Source organism: Homo sapiens, chromosome 4 (genome assembly GCF_000001405.40).
Source record: "Homo sapiens chromosome 4, GRCh38.p14 Primary Assembly".
Classification (NCBI taxonomy): domain Eukaryota; kingdom Metazoa; phylum Chordata; class Mammalia; order Primates; family Hominidae; genus Homo; species Homo sapiens.
In genome coordinates, this window is record NC_000004.12 from 109,530,561 (window position 1) to 109,545,915 (window position 15,355).

A 15,355-nucleotide genomic window follows, 5' to 3' on the forward strand; every position below is an offset into this window, starting at 1 on the left:
CTAGAGGATTATTCACTTTAGCATTGAAAGAGTTTTGAAGAATAGAAAAAGATCAATGGGGCCATGCATGGTGGCTCACGCCTGTAATCCCAGCACTTTGGGAGGCCGAGGTGTGCGGATCAGCTGATGCCAGGAGTTTGCAACCAGCCTGGCCAACATAGTGAAACCCCGCCTCTACCAAAAATACAAAAATTAGCTGGTGGCACGCGCCTGTAATCCCAGCTACTCTGGGGGCTGAGGCAGGAGAATTGCCTGAACCTGGGAGGTGGAGGTTGCAGTGAGCCAAGATCATGCCGCTGCACCCCAGCCTGGGCAACAGAGCGAGACTCCGTCTCAAAAAAAAAAAAAAAAAAAAAAAAAGAAAAGATCAGTGGAAAATGAAGGTATACAAATACATGATGACTTTAGTGAAACCATATTCTCTCTTCTTTAATGTGTGTGAGCAGTTTGCATAATGGTGCAGTCATAGCTCACTCTTAATATGTCCTCTGGAAAGAGACTCTTTAAGGACAGGAACTAATATTAAGCATCTTTCCATGTCTCTGGCACCATAAAAGGTGTCAATGCATCATTTTATTTAATCCTTTCAACAACCTAAAGAGGTATTATTTTCCCTATTTTTCTCATGATGACAGTATAGCTCAGAGGAGCTAGGTAACTTGCTCCAGCATCACATACCTATTAAATGTCAGAGCTGAGAATTGAATCTAGGTCTGTCTGATTTAAAGGCCATGCTTTTTCCATGATTGACAGTGTATATTTGTTTTAATATTTGTCCACCATATTTGTATTTTACTTGAAAACGTTTATCTTTTTCCTTGTAGAAAGCATTTAGAACGGGTACAAGCACACGGCTGGATGATCGTGTATATGCCATGTGTCAGATAAAGTCTCAGCCACTTGTTCATCTAATGAAAATGATTCATCCCAACTTATACAGGATAGACAGATTGACAGATGAGGTATGTATTTTAGTGCATTTGAAATGTTTAAATTTGAATATATTTGAGTGTCTTGTTCTACAGCTAAGATGATAATATACTATCAACTGGTTTTTCTTTTTAACTCTTTTTCCCCCTTGTGGTAGTAATACATTAAATAAGGACACTGGCTGTGGATCTGATTGGATGGCAGGACTCTTAAATACCATCAGTGGTTAAGTAGTTTTAAAAAATAGTTTCATATCAGAAGTAATTTGTCTTGTAGGTTTGCTTATAATATGTATTACAAAGCTAAGTTGTAGAGTGGACATTTCCATTTATATTTTGTAGATATTGACTGCTTCTCTTTATTTTCTTTTTTTTAAATTTTATTTTAAAGACAGAATCTTGCTGTGTCACCCAGGCTGGAGTGCAGTGGTGTGATCTCGGCTCACTGCAGCTTCTGCCTCCCAGGTTCAAGCAATTCTGCTTCAGCCACCCAAGTTGCTGGGATTACAGGCACATGCCACCACGCCTGGCTAATTTTTGTACTTTTAGTAGAGACAGAGTTTCACCATATTGGCCAGGCTGGCCTCAAACTCCTGACCTCAAGTGATCTGCCCATCTCGGCTTCCCAAAGTGCTGGGTTTACAGGCATGAGCCACCACACCTGGCCAATATTGACTGCTTTTGATAAGATCAGTTGCAATTTTGATTATATAGTAAACCAAATCTGGTATCCAATAATAATTTTAATGTGCAAATATGTAGTGTCTTTTATCTTCCCTGTGTGAAAACTGTATTCTTTGGAATTAGTATTCCAAACATAATGTTATGTTGCCAAAGAAATGTAAAAAAAAAAGCTGGCTATGCAACAGAGCCAGTAGTCACACTTGTAATATATTCTGACCCCACCCTAAAAGGGAAGGGAATGTGACAGATCATTTTATGTATTCATGTTTTTACTTTTTAAATTTGAATACATTTGAGTGTGTTGATTCTACAGCCAAGGTGGTAGCATATAATCAGTATTTTTTATATCATGCAAAACTCCCAAGTGTTATTTTCCAATGCTTCATAAAGGGTTAGTGACCATTAGCTCCCAAACTGTGATGATAGTAATGTAATCTCATTCACATTCTCTCTTTTTCTTTTCAGGGTGCAGTACATGTTAATGACAGGATTGTACCACAGCCACCTCTTCAAAAATTGTCTGCAGAGAAGCTGACAAGAGAAGGTGCTTTCCTTATGGACTGTGGCTCTGTAAGCACCCTTTACTGGCAAAGCTTAACACTGTTTGAGCTGACCAAAAACAAAGAAACACTTATAGGGTCCAGCTGTTATCACAGAGCAAGTAGTGAAAGGTGAATTAGGATTAGGAGCTGAAATTGGTAACTAGCACTGGAGGTCAATTTACTTTAAACTTTTCTATTTGGACTTCATTTTATATTGATGTTATTGATATTTGTATTGATAATACTGATAGAGTAATACATTTTAATATGGATTATTTACTGTCATGAATTATATATACTTGATGAAGAGAACTAATGAGGTAAATTCCTATATTTAGGGACTTTACCATCTAGAGTCTAGAATTTAAAAGTATTTCAAGAGTTTATCTAGTTCAACTTACATCCATTGTCAGAAATCTCATTAATGATTAGGAGTTCAAGAGAAATCACTGGGCAGGGGTAGTTGTTGAAGGGAGTTAGAATGGTTAAGATGGCTTCAAAATGATGCCTTATGAGCAGAAAAAGGATTTGGATAGCCACAGAAGAGGGAGAAATGCATGAGTGAAAATACACAGACAGTAATGAAATAGTGGATGGGAAATACAGTGAGTCAATTATACTGATTAAAGGATTATATTTCTATTGGGAAAATAAGTGCAAAAGGTAAAATATATTTTATGGTAAGCCTTAACATTTAATCAAAGACGATGTGAACCACTCTGGATTCTTACATATAGATTCACAATGTAACAATTATAGATTTCCTTTTTACTCTTCTGTTTGTTTCTACCTTATTTGAGGTGATAATTTTGAGAACATTAATGAAAATGAATTAACTATTAGGGAGTTTTAATATTTTGTTGCTTTTTCTTTTTAGGTTTTTTACATTTGGGTTGGGAAAGGCTGTGACAATAACTTCATAGAGGATGTGCTTGGATATACTAATTTTGCATCAATACCACAGAAAATGGTCAGTAGATTTTATACACCTTTAACTTTTTGTTTGCTCATTTTTTTTTATTGATGTAAAATTCATGTAATATTCACCATTTTAAAATGTACAATTCAGTAATTTTTGGTATTACACAGTGTTTTACAGCCATTACCACTATTTAGTTTCAGAACATTTCTTATCACCCTAAAAGAACCCCATATCTCCCAATTCTTCCCTATCCCTGTCCCCAGGCAACTACTAATCTACTTTCTATCTATGGATTTGCCTGTTCTGGATATGTTATATAAATGGTAATATGTGGCCTTTTGTATTTGGCTTCTTTCACTTTCCTTAATGTTTCTAAGATTCATTGATGTTGTAGCTTATATTAGTAGTTCTTTTTTTTTTTTTTAGACAGAGTCTTGCTCTGTCGCCCAGATTGTAGTGCAGTGGCTCAGTAATGGCTCACTATAGCCTCGACCTCCCATACTTAAGTGGTCCTCCCACTTTAGCCTCCTGAGTAGGAATCAGTAGTAACCTTACTCCTTATGTCAAAATAACTTTCAAATGGATCAAACATTTAAACGTAAAAAAGGAAACCATGCAGATCACTAGAAGAAATATTTGTGGTTTTTTTTTTTATACTATTAAAATGGGCCAGGCGCAGTGGCTCACGCCTGTAATCCAAGCACTTAAGGAGGCAGAGGCAGGCAGATCACAAAGTCAGGAGATTGAGACCATCCTGGTGAACACGGTGAAACCCCATCTCTACTAAAAATACAAAAAAATTAGCCGAGCATGGTGGCGGGCGCCTGTAGTCCCAGCTACTCTGGAGGCTGAGGCAGGAGAATGGTGTGAACTCGGGAGGCGGAGCTTGCAGTGAGCCGAGATCGTGCCACTGCACTCCAGCCTGGGTGACACAGCGAGACTCCAACTAAAAAAAGAAAAAAAAATTAAAATGGGTAAGGCCTTTGTGTGTGTCAGTGATTCAAAAAATCAATAAATCTGAAAGCGCAAATATAAAACATTTCTATTTGGTAAAAATAAATAAAGTAAAAATGCAAACAACAAACTCTTACGATTATCTGTAACTCAAAAGACTGAAAACGGGCTAACTTCTCTATAAAAAGTTCTCTTACCTCAGCCTCCTGAGTAGCTGGGACCACAGGAGTATGCCACCACACTTGGCTAATTAAAAAAATTTTTTTTCTAGAGATGGGGTATCCCTGTGTAGCCCAGGCTGGTCTCGAACTACTGGGCTTAAGCAGTCCTCCTGCCTTGGCCTCCCAGAGTGCTGGGATTACAGGTGTGAGCCACGGTGCTTGGCCAGTTTGTTCTTTTTTATGACTGAAAAATAGTCCATTGTATGGACATACCACATTTTGATCACCCATTCATCCACTGATGGATATTTCAGTTGTTTTTGCTTTGGGACTATTGTGCATAGTGCTACTATGAATGCTTATGTACGAGTTTTTGTGTGAACATATGTTTTCAGTTCTCTTGGGCATATTCCTAGGAGTAGAATTACTGGGTCACATGATAACTCTATGTTTAACTGTTTGAGGAACTGCCAAACTGTTTTCCAACAACTTTAACTTTGGGTTTAAATTATTTTGCTGGGCCGGACGCTGTGGCTCACACCTGTAATCCCAGCACTTTGGGAAGCCTAGGTGGGTGTATCACGAGGTCAAGAGATCAAGACCATCCTGGCCAACATGGTGAAACCCCGTTTCTATTAAAAAATACAAAAAAAATTAGCCAGGCATGGTGACGGGTGCCAGTAGTCCCAGCTACTCGGGAGGCTGAAGTAGGAGAACCACTTGAACCTGGGAGGTGGAGCTTGCAGTGAGCCAAGATTGCGCCACTGCACTCCAACCTGGACGACAGAGCAAGACTCCGTCTAAAAAAAAAAGTGGCTGGGCGCGGTGGCTCATGCCTGTAATCCCAGCACTTTGGGAGGCCGAGGTGGGTGGATCAAGAGGTCAGGAGATCGAGACCATCCTGGCTAACATGGTGAAACCTTGTCTCTACTAAAAATACAAAAAAACAATTAGCTGGGCGTGGTGGCAGGCGCCTGTAGTCCCAGCTCTTAAGGAGGCTGAGGCAGGAGAATGGTATGAAACCGGGAGGCGGAGCTTGCAGTGAGCCGAGATCACGCCACTGCGTTCCAGCCTGGGTGACAGAGCAAGACTCCGTCTCAAAAAAAAAGTTACTTTGCTTATACTAAACACAAATTTTTCAGTAGGATTTTATTGAATGTATGCTAACCAATACCAAGGAAATATGATTCTGAAAACAGATTTGTATAATTAATTAATTTAAAGGGAAGGCTGGCCTAGCTTATTGTTAGGTAATGTAAATATGTCCTTTTTCCTGAAATTAATATAAATTCAGTGTAATCCTTATTACAATCTGTCATTGTTTGATTTTTTTTTAAATGACAGATAATCCAAGAGTTCATTGGTAAAACTCAACAAATGAGGATAATAAGAAAATGAAAAGGGAGAATAATGTCAGCAAAGGGGGAAATATATGAAAAATAAATTCTAAGTAAAATAGTAAACCTTATTCTAAAGCTGTAGTTATTTAAGTACCATGATACTGGCACAGTAAACAGATCAGTGGGACAGAATAGAGTTCAGAAACAGATCTAATTAATGAAAAATACAGTGTGGTAAAGATTGCATTTCAAATTACTGTGGGGAAATGGAATATTAGAAAAATAATCTTGGGACCACTGATTAGTCATTAAGGAAAAAACAAGACTGGATATTTACCTTATTCCTTATATCAAAATAACTTTCAAATGGATCAAACATTTAAATGTAAAAAAGGAAACCATGCAGATCACTAGAAGAAATATTTGTGAATTTTTTGTTTTGTTTTGTTTTTTTGGAGATGGAGTCTCACTCTGTCACCCAGGCTGGAGTGCAGTGGCGCAATCTTGGCTCACTGCAAGCTCTGCCTCCCGGGTTCGCGCCATTCTCCTGCCTCAGTCTCCTGGGTAGCTGGGACTACAGGCGCCTGCCACCACGCCCAGCTAATTGTTTGTATTTTTAGTAGAGATGGAGTTTCACTGTGTTAGCTAGGATGGTCTCGATCTCCTGACTTTGTGATCCCCCCACCTCGGCCTCCCAAAGTGCTGGGATTACAGGCGTGAGCCACTGCGCCTGGCCAAATTTTTTTTTTTTTTATAATATTAGAATGGGTAACGCCTTTGTAAGTCGGTGATTCAAAAGATCAATAAATCTGAAAGCACAAATATAAAACATTTATATTTGGTAACAATAAATAAATAAATAAAGCCAAAATACAAACAATAAAATCTTAAGATTATCTGTAACTCATAAGACTGAAAAGGGCTAACTTCTCTATAAAAAGTTCTCTTACAAATCTTTGAGAAGACCTTCCTTACTTTCTGCCTCCTCCAGACAAAACTGGGTAAAGGATTTTAATAGGCAATTCATAAAAGAAGAATAAAGTAGAGGTCATATAAAACAATATTTAACCTCACTCATAATTAGGAAAAAAAATAGTAATTTAGCATTTCTTTCATTTACCAGATTGTCAAAAATTTTAAAATTTGATAATAGGCAATCATGTAGACAGTTTAGGACAGTGGACACTGTTGAGCATTATTGACTGGAATATATAGTACTTATATAACCTTTTTAGAGGGCCATTTGACAATGTCTGTGAAAATCATGTTCTTTATGACACGGTAAATTATTCTGCAAAGAATGTGTCCCATAGATATATTCATAGAAGTAGGCATATATACACACATGCTTATAGTATTAAATAATAGCTGTGCATTTATTAAAAAGAATACAGTCTGGGGCACTGTGCCATGCACCTGTGGTCCCAGCTACTTGGGAGGCTAGGAGGCTGAGGCAGGAGGATAGCTTGAGCCCAGGAGTTCAAAGCTGTAGTGTACTATGACTGCACTTGTGTACAGCCATTGCACTCCAGTCTGGGCAACCTAGCAAGACCCCATCTCTTAAAAAGAAAAAAAGAAGAAGAATACAGCCTGAAGTGAATAATATGCATGATATGATCCCCATTTGTATTTTCAAAAATGTGTTTGTATACTTAGTAATAATTTAGAAAACATCTGAAAAAATTCACATCAAAATGGAAATGGTTTTTAAAATATTGACCGGAATTACAAACATAATTATTCCAAACTTGTCTATTTAAATTTTGTTATATACTACATTTTTGAATTATTTAATTTACTGTTAATTTGCTATTTAATTTACAGTTGGCTTTGAAAAAGGAAAGTAAATCTTACCTTTTTATGTATATAAAAAATAATAGACTTTTAGGTCCTTTTAAAATAGTCTCGCGTATAGTTTTAAAATATATTTACATATCCACACTGTACTTTAAAATTCTTTGCCTTTAAATTAAAGAAAACATGAAATTCTCCCAGAATGGCTGTTTTTAGAATAGGATATAATCATATATAATTGCTAAGGGAATTTGGAATTTAATGGTATCCCCCTTCATTTGAACATTTCCTCTAGAAGAAACATAAAGCCGCCACACAATACTGGTGACATGCTAATCGTTGTTTATGTTTTATTGACTTACCAAGAAAAATATAGTCAGTTAAAATGTCAGTGACATACTTGTCATTGCACATATTTTATTGACTTATCCAGAAAAATATAAACAGATTTTTCAACAGTTTAAATTTTATTTGTGTAGTTGCTGCTGTTGAGGCTAAGAAATAGAGTGCTGGCAGTTGGGGGTGATGGTAGGAATCATGATTTTGTTCTATTACTGCTGAAGTCTATGAGAAAGGAAAGTTTCCTAATTGTATTTCTTTTACCAGACACATCTTCCAGAGCTAGATACACTTTCATCAGAAAGAGCCAGATCCTTCATAACTTGGCTTAGAGACAGCAGACCATTAAGTCCAATCCTTCACATAGTAAAGTAAGTACTTTTGTAACTTAATTATGAAGTTGTCTTTCCTATGTAGTCTGTGGAATTGCTTGTCTTCAAAGCAAACTTTAAATAGTAGCAAAATATATTCTGATGGTAAAATGTTGTTACTTGATTTAAATCCCCTGTATTCCATTTTCTGACATCTCCATATATTAGTAATTTTTAATTTTCTTTCTTTCTTTATTTAATTTGAGATAGAGTCTCACTCTGTCACTCAGGCTGCAGTGCAGGGGTGCTGCTATCACAGTTCACTGCAGCCTGGACCTCCCATGCTCAAGTAATCCTCCCAACTCAGACTCCCGAGTAGCTGGGACTGCAGGCACTTCCCTCCACACCTGGCTAATTTTTAATTTTTTTTTTTTCTTTTTTTGAGACAAAGTTTCGCTCTTGTCACCCGGGCTGGAGTGCGATGGTGCGATCTCAGCCCACTGCAACCTCTGCGTCCTGGATTCAAGCGATTCGCCTGCCTCAGCCTCCCAAGTAGCTGGGATTACAGGCGCCCACCACCACGCCCAGCTAATTTTTGTATTTTTAGTAGAGACAGGGTTTCACCATGTTGGCCAGGCTGGTCTTGAACTCCTCACCTCAGGTGATCCACCCACCTCGGCCTCTCAAAGTGCTGGGATTACAGGCGTGAGCCACCACGCCCGGCCAATTTTAAAAATTTTTTTTTTTTTTTTAAGCAATGGGGATCTTTCTATCTTGCCCAGGCTGGTCTTAAACTTCTGGGCTCAAGCAGTCCTCCCACCTTAGCCTCTTAAAGTGCTGAGATTACAGGTGTGAGCTGCCAGCCCAGTAATTTTTAAAATATATACTATTTTTAGAAATATGCACTTTTATTTTATTTGTATAAATTTACAGGATACAAGTGTAATTTTATGAGCTAGATTGCAAAGTGGTGAAATCAGGGCTTTTAAATACGTTTAGACAAATGCCCTTTTCTTTCTTCCAGAGATGAGAGTCCTGCCAAAGCAGAATTTTTTCAGCATTTGATTGAAGACCGGACAGAGGCTGCATTTTCTTACTATGAATTTTTGCTTCATGTTCAGCAGCAGATTTGTAAGTGAAGTAGAATAAAATTGAATAAGAAAAAGATCTATAACCTAGGTAAAGCATAATCTGTCAGAGAAGCGCGTGAGAAATTTGAAATGAAGGCATTTGTTAATACAAGATGCAACGCACAGCACTCTGTCTGAGGCTTTGGTAAAAAGTAAAGGGGAAGAAAGAACTTGACAGATCTTTTTCAACTCAAATTAATGGTAACGATGATGCTGTTTCACCAAGTATATTTTGAATTGGTTTCTACACATTTCCAGTAGTATGGCAGTACAGTGCTCTGTTCATTGCAAGCTGGCAAATTTATGTAGCTATGTGGAATGATATGTCATAATGTAAAATTAGATAAATTCTTTTTTCTTATAATTAATATAACATTTCTGGACTTGAACTCTGGCAAGAGATGCCAAAAGGCATTGGTACCGTGTTATTTGTTTATATGAATTACTTTTTAACAAGGAATGTTTCTTATTCATTAAATGAATTCAACATTTTCTCTGTAAAAACAATAGAGTTTCAGTACATGAACTATAGAAAAAAATCTATATATAATGTACATAAATGTTACATTTGTAAAGAAAATGTAAAAATGTAACTATAGCATATGAATTGCTTAAACTGTGCTGCATTGTTGGATGACAACTCTTTTTGTCACAGTTAGAGAATGAGGTTGACTAATGCATATTATGAATTGAGTCCACAAAGGAACACAAAACTCTTTGTAATTCTGTTAAATCTTTTATGTAGATTTATTTATGATCAGCCTACTAATTAAAACTATTTCGCTTGACAGTATGGTTTGGTGATTTTTTGGGGTTTTTGTTTGATTGGTTTTTTGTGGGGATTGGTGGGTTTTTTTACATACAGGATGTATTGAATTTACTAATTGGGGAAGTGCAGTGATACTGCATTTCAGTTAGTAATATATATGAATCAGGCCAGGCGCGGTGGCTCACGCCTGTAATCCCAGCGCTTTGGGAGGCCAAGGTGGGCAGATGACTTGAGGTCAGGTGTTCATGACCTGCCTGACCAACATGATGAAACCCCATCTCTGCTAAAAATACCAAAATTAGCCAGGGGTGCTGGCGGGCACCTGTAATCCCAGCTACTCAGGAGGCTGAAGCAGTAGAATCGCTTGAACCTGGAGGCTGAGGTTGCAGTGAGCTAAGATCACGCCACTGCACTCCAGCCTGGGCAACAGAGTGAGACTCCATCTTAAAAAAAAAAAAAAAGTAATATATATGAATCAATACACTTTCATTAGTCTGTGGACATTACCAAGTACTTATTCTGTTTGTATTCTAAAACAAATGGTGCTACTTTCAAAAATATTCTTAACTAGTAAGTATAATCTTAAATTGTCTTTCTTATTTACATTAGATATTTTTGCCTGCACACTTATAGCAAGAAAATTTTAGTAACACATATCACTATCCCATTTATTTAATTGACTTTAAGATTGCCATCTTGAATTTTGAAAGTGATTTTCTTCTGATCAAGAAACCTCTCATTCACTAACAACTTATTTACTATAAAAAACTCTTAAGGATCCATTAGATTATGGGACATAATTTTATTCTGTACACTATGAAAGTCCCCATCAACAAACTTTGGAAGGAAAAAGACTCTGCCAGGCATGATGGCTCATGCCTATAATCCTAGCACTTTGAGGGACCAAAGCAAGCGGATGGCTTGAGCCCAGAGGTTCGAGACCAGCCTGGGCAACATGGGGGAAACCCTGTCTCTACAAAAATACAAAAAAATTAGCCAGGGATTGTGTGCACCTGTAGTCCCACCTACTCAGGAGGCTAAGGTGGAAGGACATCCTGAGCCGAGGAGGTCAAGGTCGCAATGAGCTCTGACCACACCACCGCACTCAGTCTGGGAGATAGAGTGAAGCCCTGTCTCAAAAAAAAAAAGAAAAAAAAAGAAAAAGGCTTGCTGTGTAGTGGGTTATTTTTACTGTTTTTGTGCTTTCATGGATCTCATTTCTTTGGATAAAAATAAAAGTACTCTCACATTCCCTGCTGGAAATGAGAGGTTAAATGACTCACCCTAAATGACATTACTTACTAATTAGTGTCAATGCTAATAGTAAAAATCCAAATGTTCTCCCTACCCACAACCTACTCCCACCCCACCCCCCACCCACAGGACCATACTTGTCCCTATACCATGCTGCCTCTAGCAAGAGAGAATCTGAACAGTAAGAGAAACTAAGCCAGGCATGGTGGTGCCTTCCTGTAGTCCCACCTATTTGGGAGGCTGAGGCAGAAGAATCACTTGAACCTGGGAGGCAGAGGTTGCAGTGAGCCGAGATTGCACCACTGCACTCCAGCCTGGGCAAGAGCCAGACTTCAACTCAAAAAAAAAGAGAGAGAAACTTTAGTACTCTAAGGGCAACTAAATACTGCAATTTTACCATAAAAAGTATAATTCTTCTTTATAAAAGACAAAAATCTTTTGTCTGGATATTTTGTCTCTCATTCAATAAATATTTGTAAGCATTTAATGCTTGCCAGATATTGTTCCAGGCACAAAGTAAAATCTTCACTTCCACAAAGCTTATACTCTGAAGTGAGAACGTAGAAGACTGGGGAGAGGCAAAAATCATTTTATATAATTTGTAAGTGTGATATATAATTCTATGTAAGTATAGTGAATGTTATGAAGAAAAATAAAGCTCGGAAAGGAGATGGAAAATACTGTTTTTGATAGTGAGCAGGAAAGGCTCTTTTAAGAAGATGAGAGTTGAGCAGAGAGCTAAAGCCACATAGATACCTGGAACAAGAGCTGTCCAAATAGGAGAACTTTGTGGTAGATGAATGTAGAACTTACTTTGCGAGTGCTCTTTTCTCTGTGAAAGAAGCAACAGAATTATCAGCTGAAAGGGTGTAAGAGGGTTAGAGGTTTTGCAAAATAGTCTAGGAGAGTAAGATGTTGAATTTACTACTGGTATGTAATAGGATTGTGAGGACCCATCTTGGGCTGTGAGTCGAACTTAGAATGAAACTAATAAGCATAACTGTACCTCTTTCCTCTAGCTATGTTCAGTGCTTGGTAGGAAGTCGGATTTAACCACAGTTGGCTACAAGGAACAGAGGAGGAGCAAGAGAATTTAGGATGTATACAAGGGAGTGACTCATTTAAGCTACAAGAGCACAAAATGGGTGATGGATAGTGATGGGTAGAGATGGGTAGCGGGCTTAGTTGTTTGGAGGTCCCATTGAGGTTAAAAGCTATTAAGAGTATAGGTGTCAGAAAGAATGAGTTGGAAAGATAAAATGTAGTGGTTAGGATATGAAAAGCTTGGAATTGAGATTTGGGAGAAGTTTAGATAATGACAAGACTGGGGGAATGAGTGGTTGAGATGTTATTAAAGGTAACTAGAGGTAGGGAGGTGAGAACTTAGAGCCCAGGATTTCAAATGGATCATCTATTTGATTATTAAAATTATCCCCAAAAAATGACAGGAATAATGCTGGGGACACGGAGACTGTAAATGATTGCAATAAGGAGGAGTGGCAAGGGGATATGCTGAGGACCTGAGGTAGGCAAGGAGGAAGAAGAATCTGGATGCCAACAGAGGAGTAGAGGGATGCCTGCCTGGGGTTTAGGATCAAACACAGCCGTCCTTTGACAGGTTTGGAGGAAGGTAATATCCTCAAGACAGCCAGGTTTCAGTTAGCGTGTGTGGAGACTGACATAAACCAAAATATAGGCACGACGAGAGTAATCCTGATGGGAGGTGGATAATCCATTCTCATTGCCTCCTTATGGGACAAGTCTCTTTGGCCATTTGCTTTGTGAGGCAGGGAGTGTTGGGTGAGAGGAAGGGGTATGCTTGTCAGGAATTCTGTGAGCTGCTTTTTCAACTAACTAAAAAAAGGTAGTGGTTCTTAGTGTTATTGGTAGGGATGGGATCAGAATTTCCTGGGCGAGCTTTTTGGATACCTCAATTCATATTCACTACCTGATTAGGGGCTTGGCCAGAGATACATTAAAATGCATACATTAATGTATTAAAAGTATTCATACATTAATATGTATATATGTGTGTGGCAAATACTATTTGATAGCTATTTGGGGATTTGACTGTTACATATTCAACTTGTGAGGCTAGGAAAGGCACATATTAGCAAAGTGTTATATTAAAGAAACCGTGAGCCCTCCTCTTCTAAGTATCTTCTCACTAAAATACTTTTGAAGACATAGGAAAAGAAGAAAACTCACAACAAAGTTGAAAATAACATTGCAGACATCATCTAGATAGAACTAAAAATTACTGAAAGAAGACAATTTATGAAAAAAATAAACACTCAGCCGGGTGTGATGGCTCACGCTTGTAATCCCAACACTTTGGCAGGTCCAGGTGGGAGGATCTCTTGAGGCCAGGAGTTTGAGACCAGCCTGGGCGGCACAGCAAGACCCCATCTCCATAAAAAATAAAAAATTAGCCAGTTGTGGTAGTGTGTGCCTGTAGTCCTAGCTGCCTGGGAGGCTGAGGTGAGAGGATTACTTGAGCCCAGGAGTTTGAGGCTGCAGTGAGCTACAACTGCACCACTGTAATCCAGCCTTGATGACAGAGCAAGACTGTCTGAAAGAAAAAAAAAAATACAAATTTTTAAAGAAAAAAAATAACACTCAAGCCCTGTTTGGCACATGAAACCTGAAAAACAAAAATAGAAGATACTACATAATTCATTCATCTTTTGCCTCTGAATTCAGAGACAGGATCTGTATCAACCAGCAAATTGGTATCCTCCTCCTGCCTGCATTCTTATAATAACCATAAGAAGTAAGTACGTAATATAAAACAAGTGGGCAGGAAGTGTGTATGTGTACTTGGCTTAAGTGGAGAAGGTAGCCATAATCAGGGGACACAGAAGCTATTAATGTATTCATTGCCTTCAGATTTGGCATGGGCAGATCCAAAAATTAATTATTTTTTGTTTCCTTTAGTAAACAATGCACAGTTCTGTGGATTTTTACTTTTGGACCAATCAGCATTACTTACAAGTACTTACTAGTAATGTTATTACTTACTAATAAGTGAATTACAAAGGACCACTAAAATTTGTTTCCACAAATGAAAATCAGTGTTTTATTAGAGTTTGCTTAGGATTCTACTTATAAGATGCCTGGTCCCTGTACAAGGTTTGTAATTTTGCAAGAATGCACAAAAGTGTATATACAGATACTGTCACACAGCAGGTCAGACAACTGACAGAAACTATCCTACGGTCAGTACTCAAGCATTTTCTTATGAATGTATTATCTTGTTGGGAGGTGTTCATGGTTTTTCTGCTATTTTTGCATTTCAGATATGTATTATTTTAGCTTGATAGCCATTGAGATTGCTATAGATTATTTGATTTGTATATAATGATGTATGTATGCATATTTCACTATATTTTTCTATTTTTCTATAACTGGGTTTTAAATATTTTTGGTAGAAAAATAATTATACTTTCATTGCTAAAAATAAATATGCATAACCTACCCCTCTATATTGCTTATAACATTTTGATGATGTAGCCAGTGAATATGTGCTAATTTAAATAACTTTTATATAAAATTAAGCCAACTGCCGTATTATAACTGGTTTCTTTTTAACTTAATAGGATATTGTTTTATAATATTAAATCATATGTTTAAGCTCATTCTCTTTAAAAATAAACAATAAGCAATTTCTATATATTCCTCTCAAGTCTTTATTACTTAGGAATTTGCTTTAGAGCAGGGATTGTATTTTGGATTTTCTTTATACTTCTTATCCCACTTCACATATCCCCAGGTACTCTTCCCAAGACAGAATACATGGCAGAGACACATTTAAATTTAATTGAACAACTGCAAAAGCTTATTAGCCTTTCTTATAGTGGAGTCATTTCACAGTGACCCTTGGGAAATCTGTAAAACATTATACCAGTTAGGAGGACTTTTTCCCATTCTTAATGAAAGTTTTTATGGATCTTTTTCCCCTGTAGTCAATTTCTTTCAAATTCTGCTTCTTTGGGGCTTAGGTCTAATGACTTGCATAGTAACAATAGGAAACGCCTATTACATGCACTTCCTATGGAACCAGAAAAATTCTAATAGAGTGGAAGATACTGTGTCTCTAGCCTGTCTCCTATTAGTTATCAAAAGCTGGTAAGTAAGTAATTATGTGCAGAGTTAGGAATAATAGAGGTAAATGGAGAAATGGATGAATAAGATGTTTAACAAGAAAGGTCAAAACTTAAAGCTGA

The 15,355-nt window shown here is 37.5% G+C and overlaps 1 protein-coding gene across 19 annotated transcripts in view; it reads left to right on the plus strand.

Moving 5' to 3' along the window:
• Positions 1-10,336, plus strand: part of SEC24B (SEC24 homolog B, COPII component) — a 107,082-nt gene extending 96,746 nt beyond the window's left edge. For all 19 annotated transcript variants that reach the window (NM_001300813.3, NM_006323.5, NM_001318085.2 and 16 more), the window contains 5 exons: positions 825-962; positions 2,079-2,183; positions 3,033-3,125; positions 7,933-8,036; positions 9,001-10,336. In NM_001300813.3, the coding sequence (NP_001287742.1) occupies positions 825-962; positions 2,079-2,183; positions 3,033-3,125; positions 7,933-8,036; positions 9,001-9,115 (555 nt within the window). In that variant the 3' untranslated portion in view covers positions 9,116-10,336. The remainder of the gene's footprint in view (positions 1-824; positions 963-2,078; positions 2,184-3,032; positions 3,126-7,932; positions 8,037-9,000) is intronic.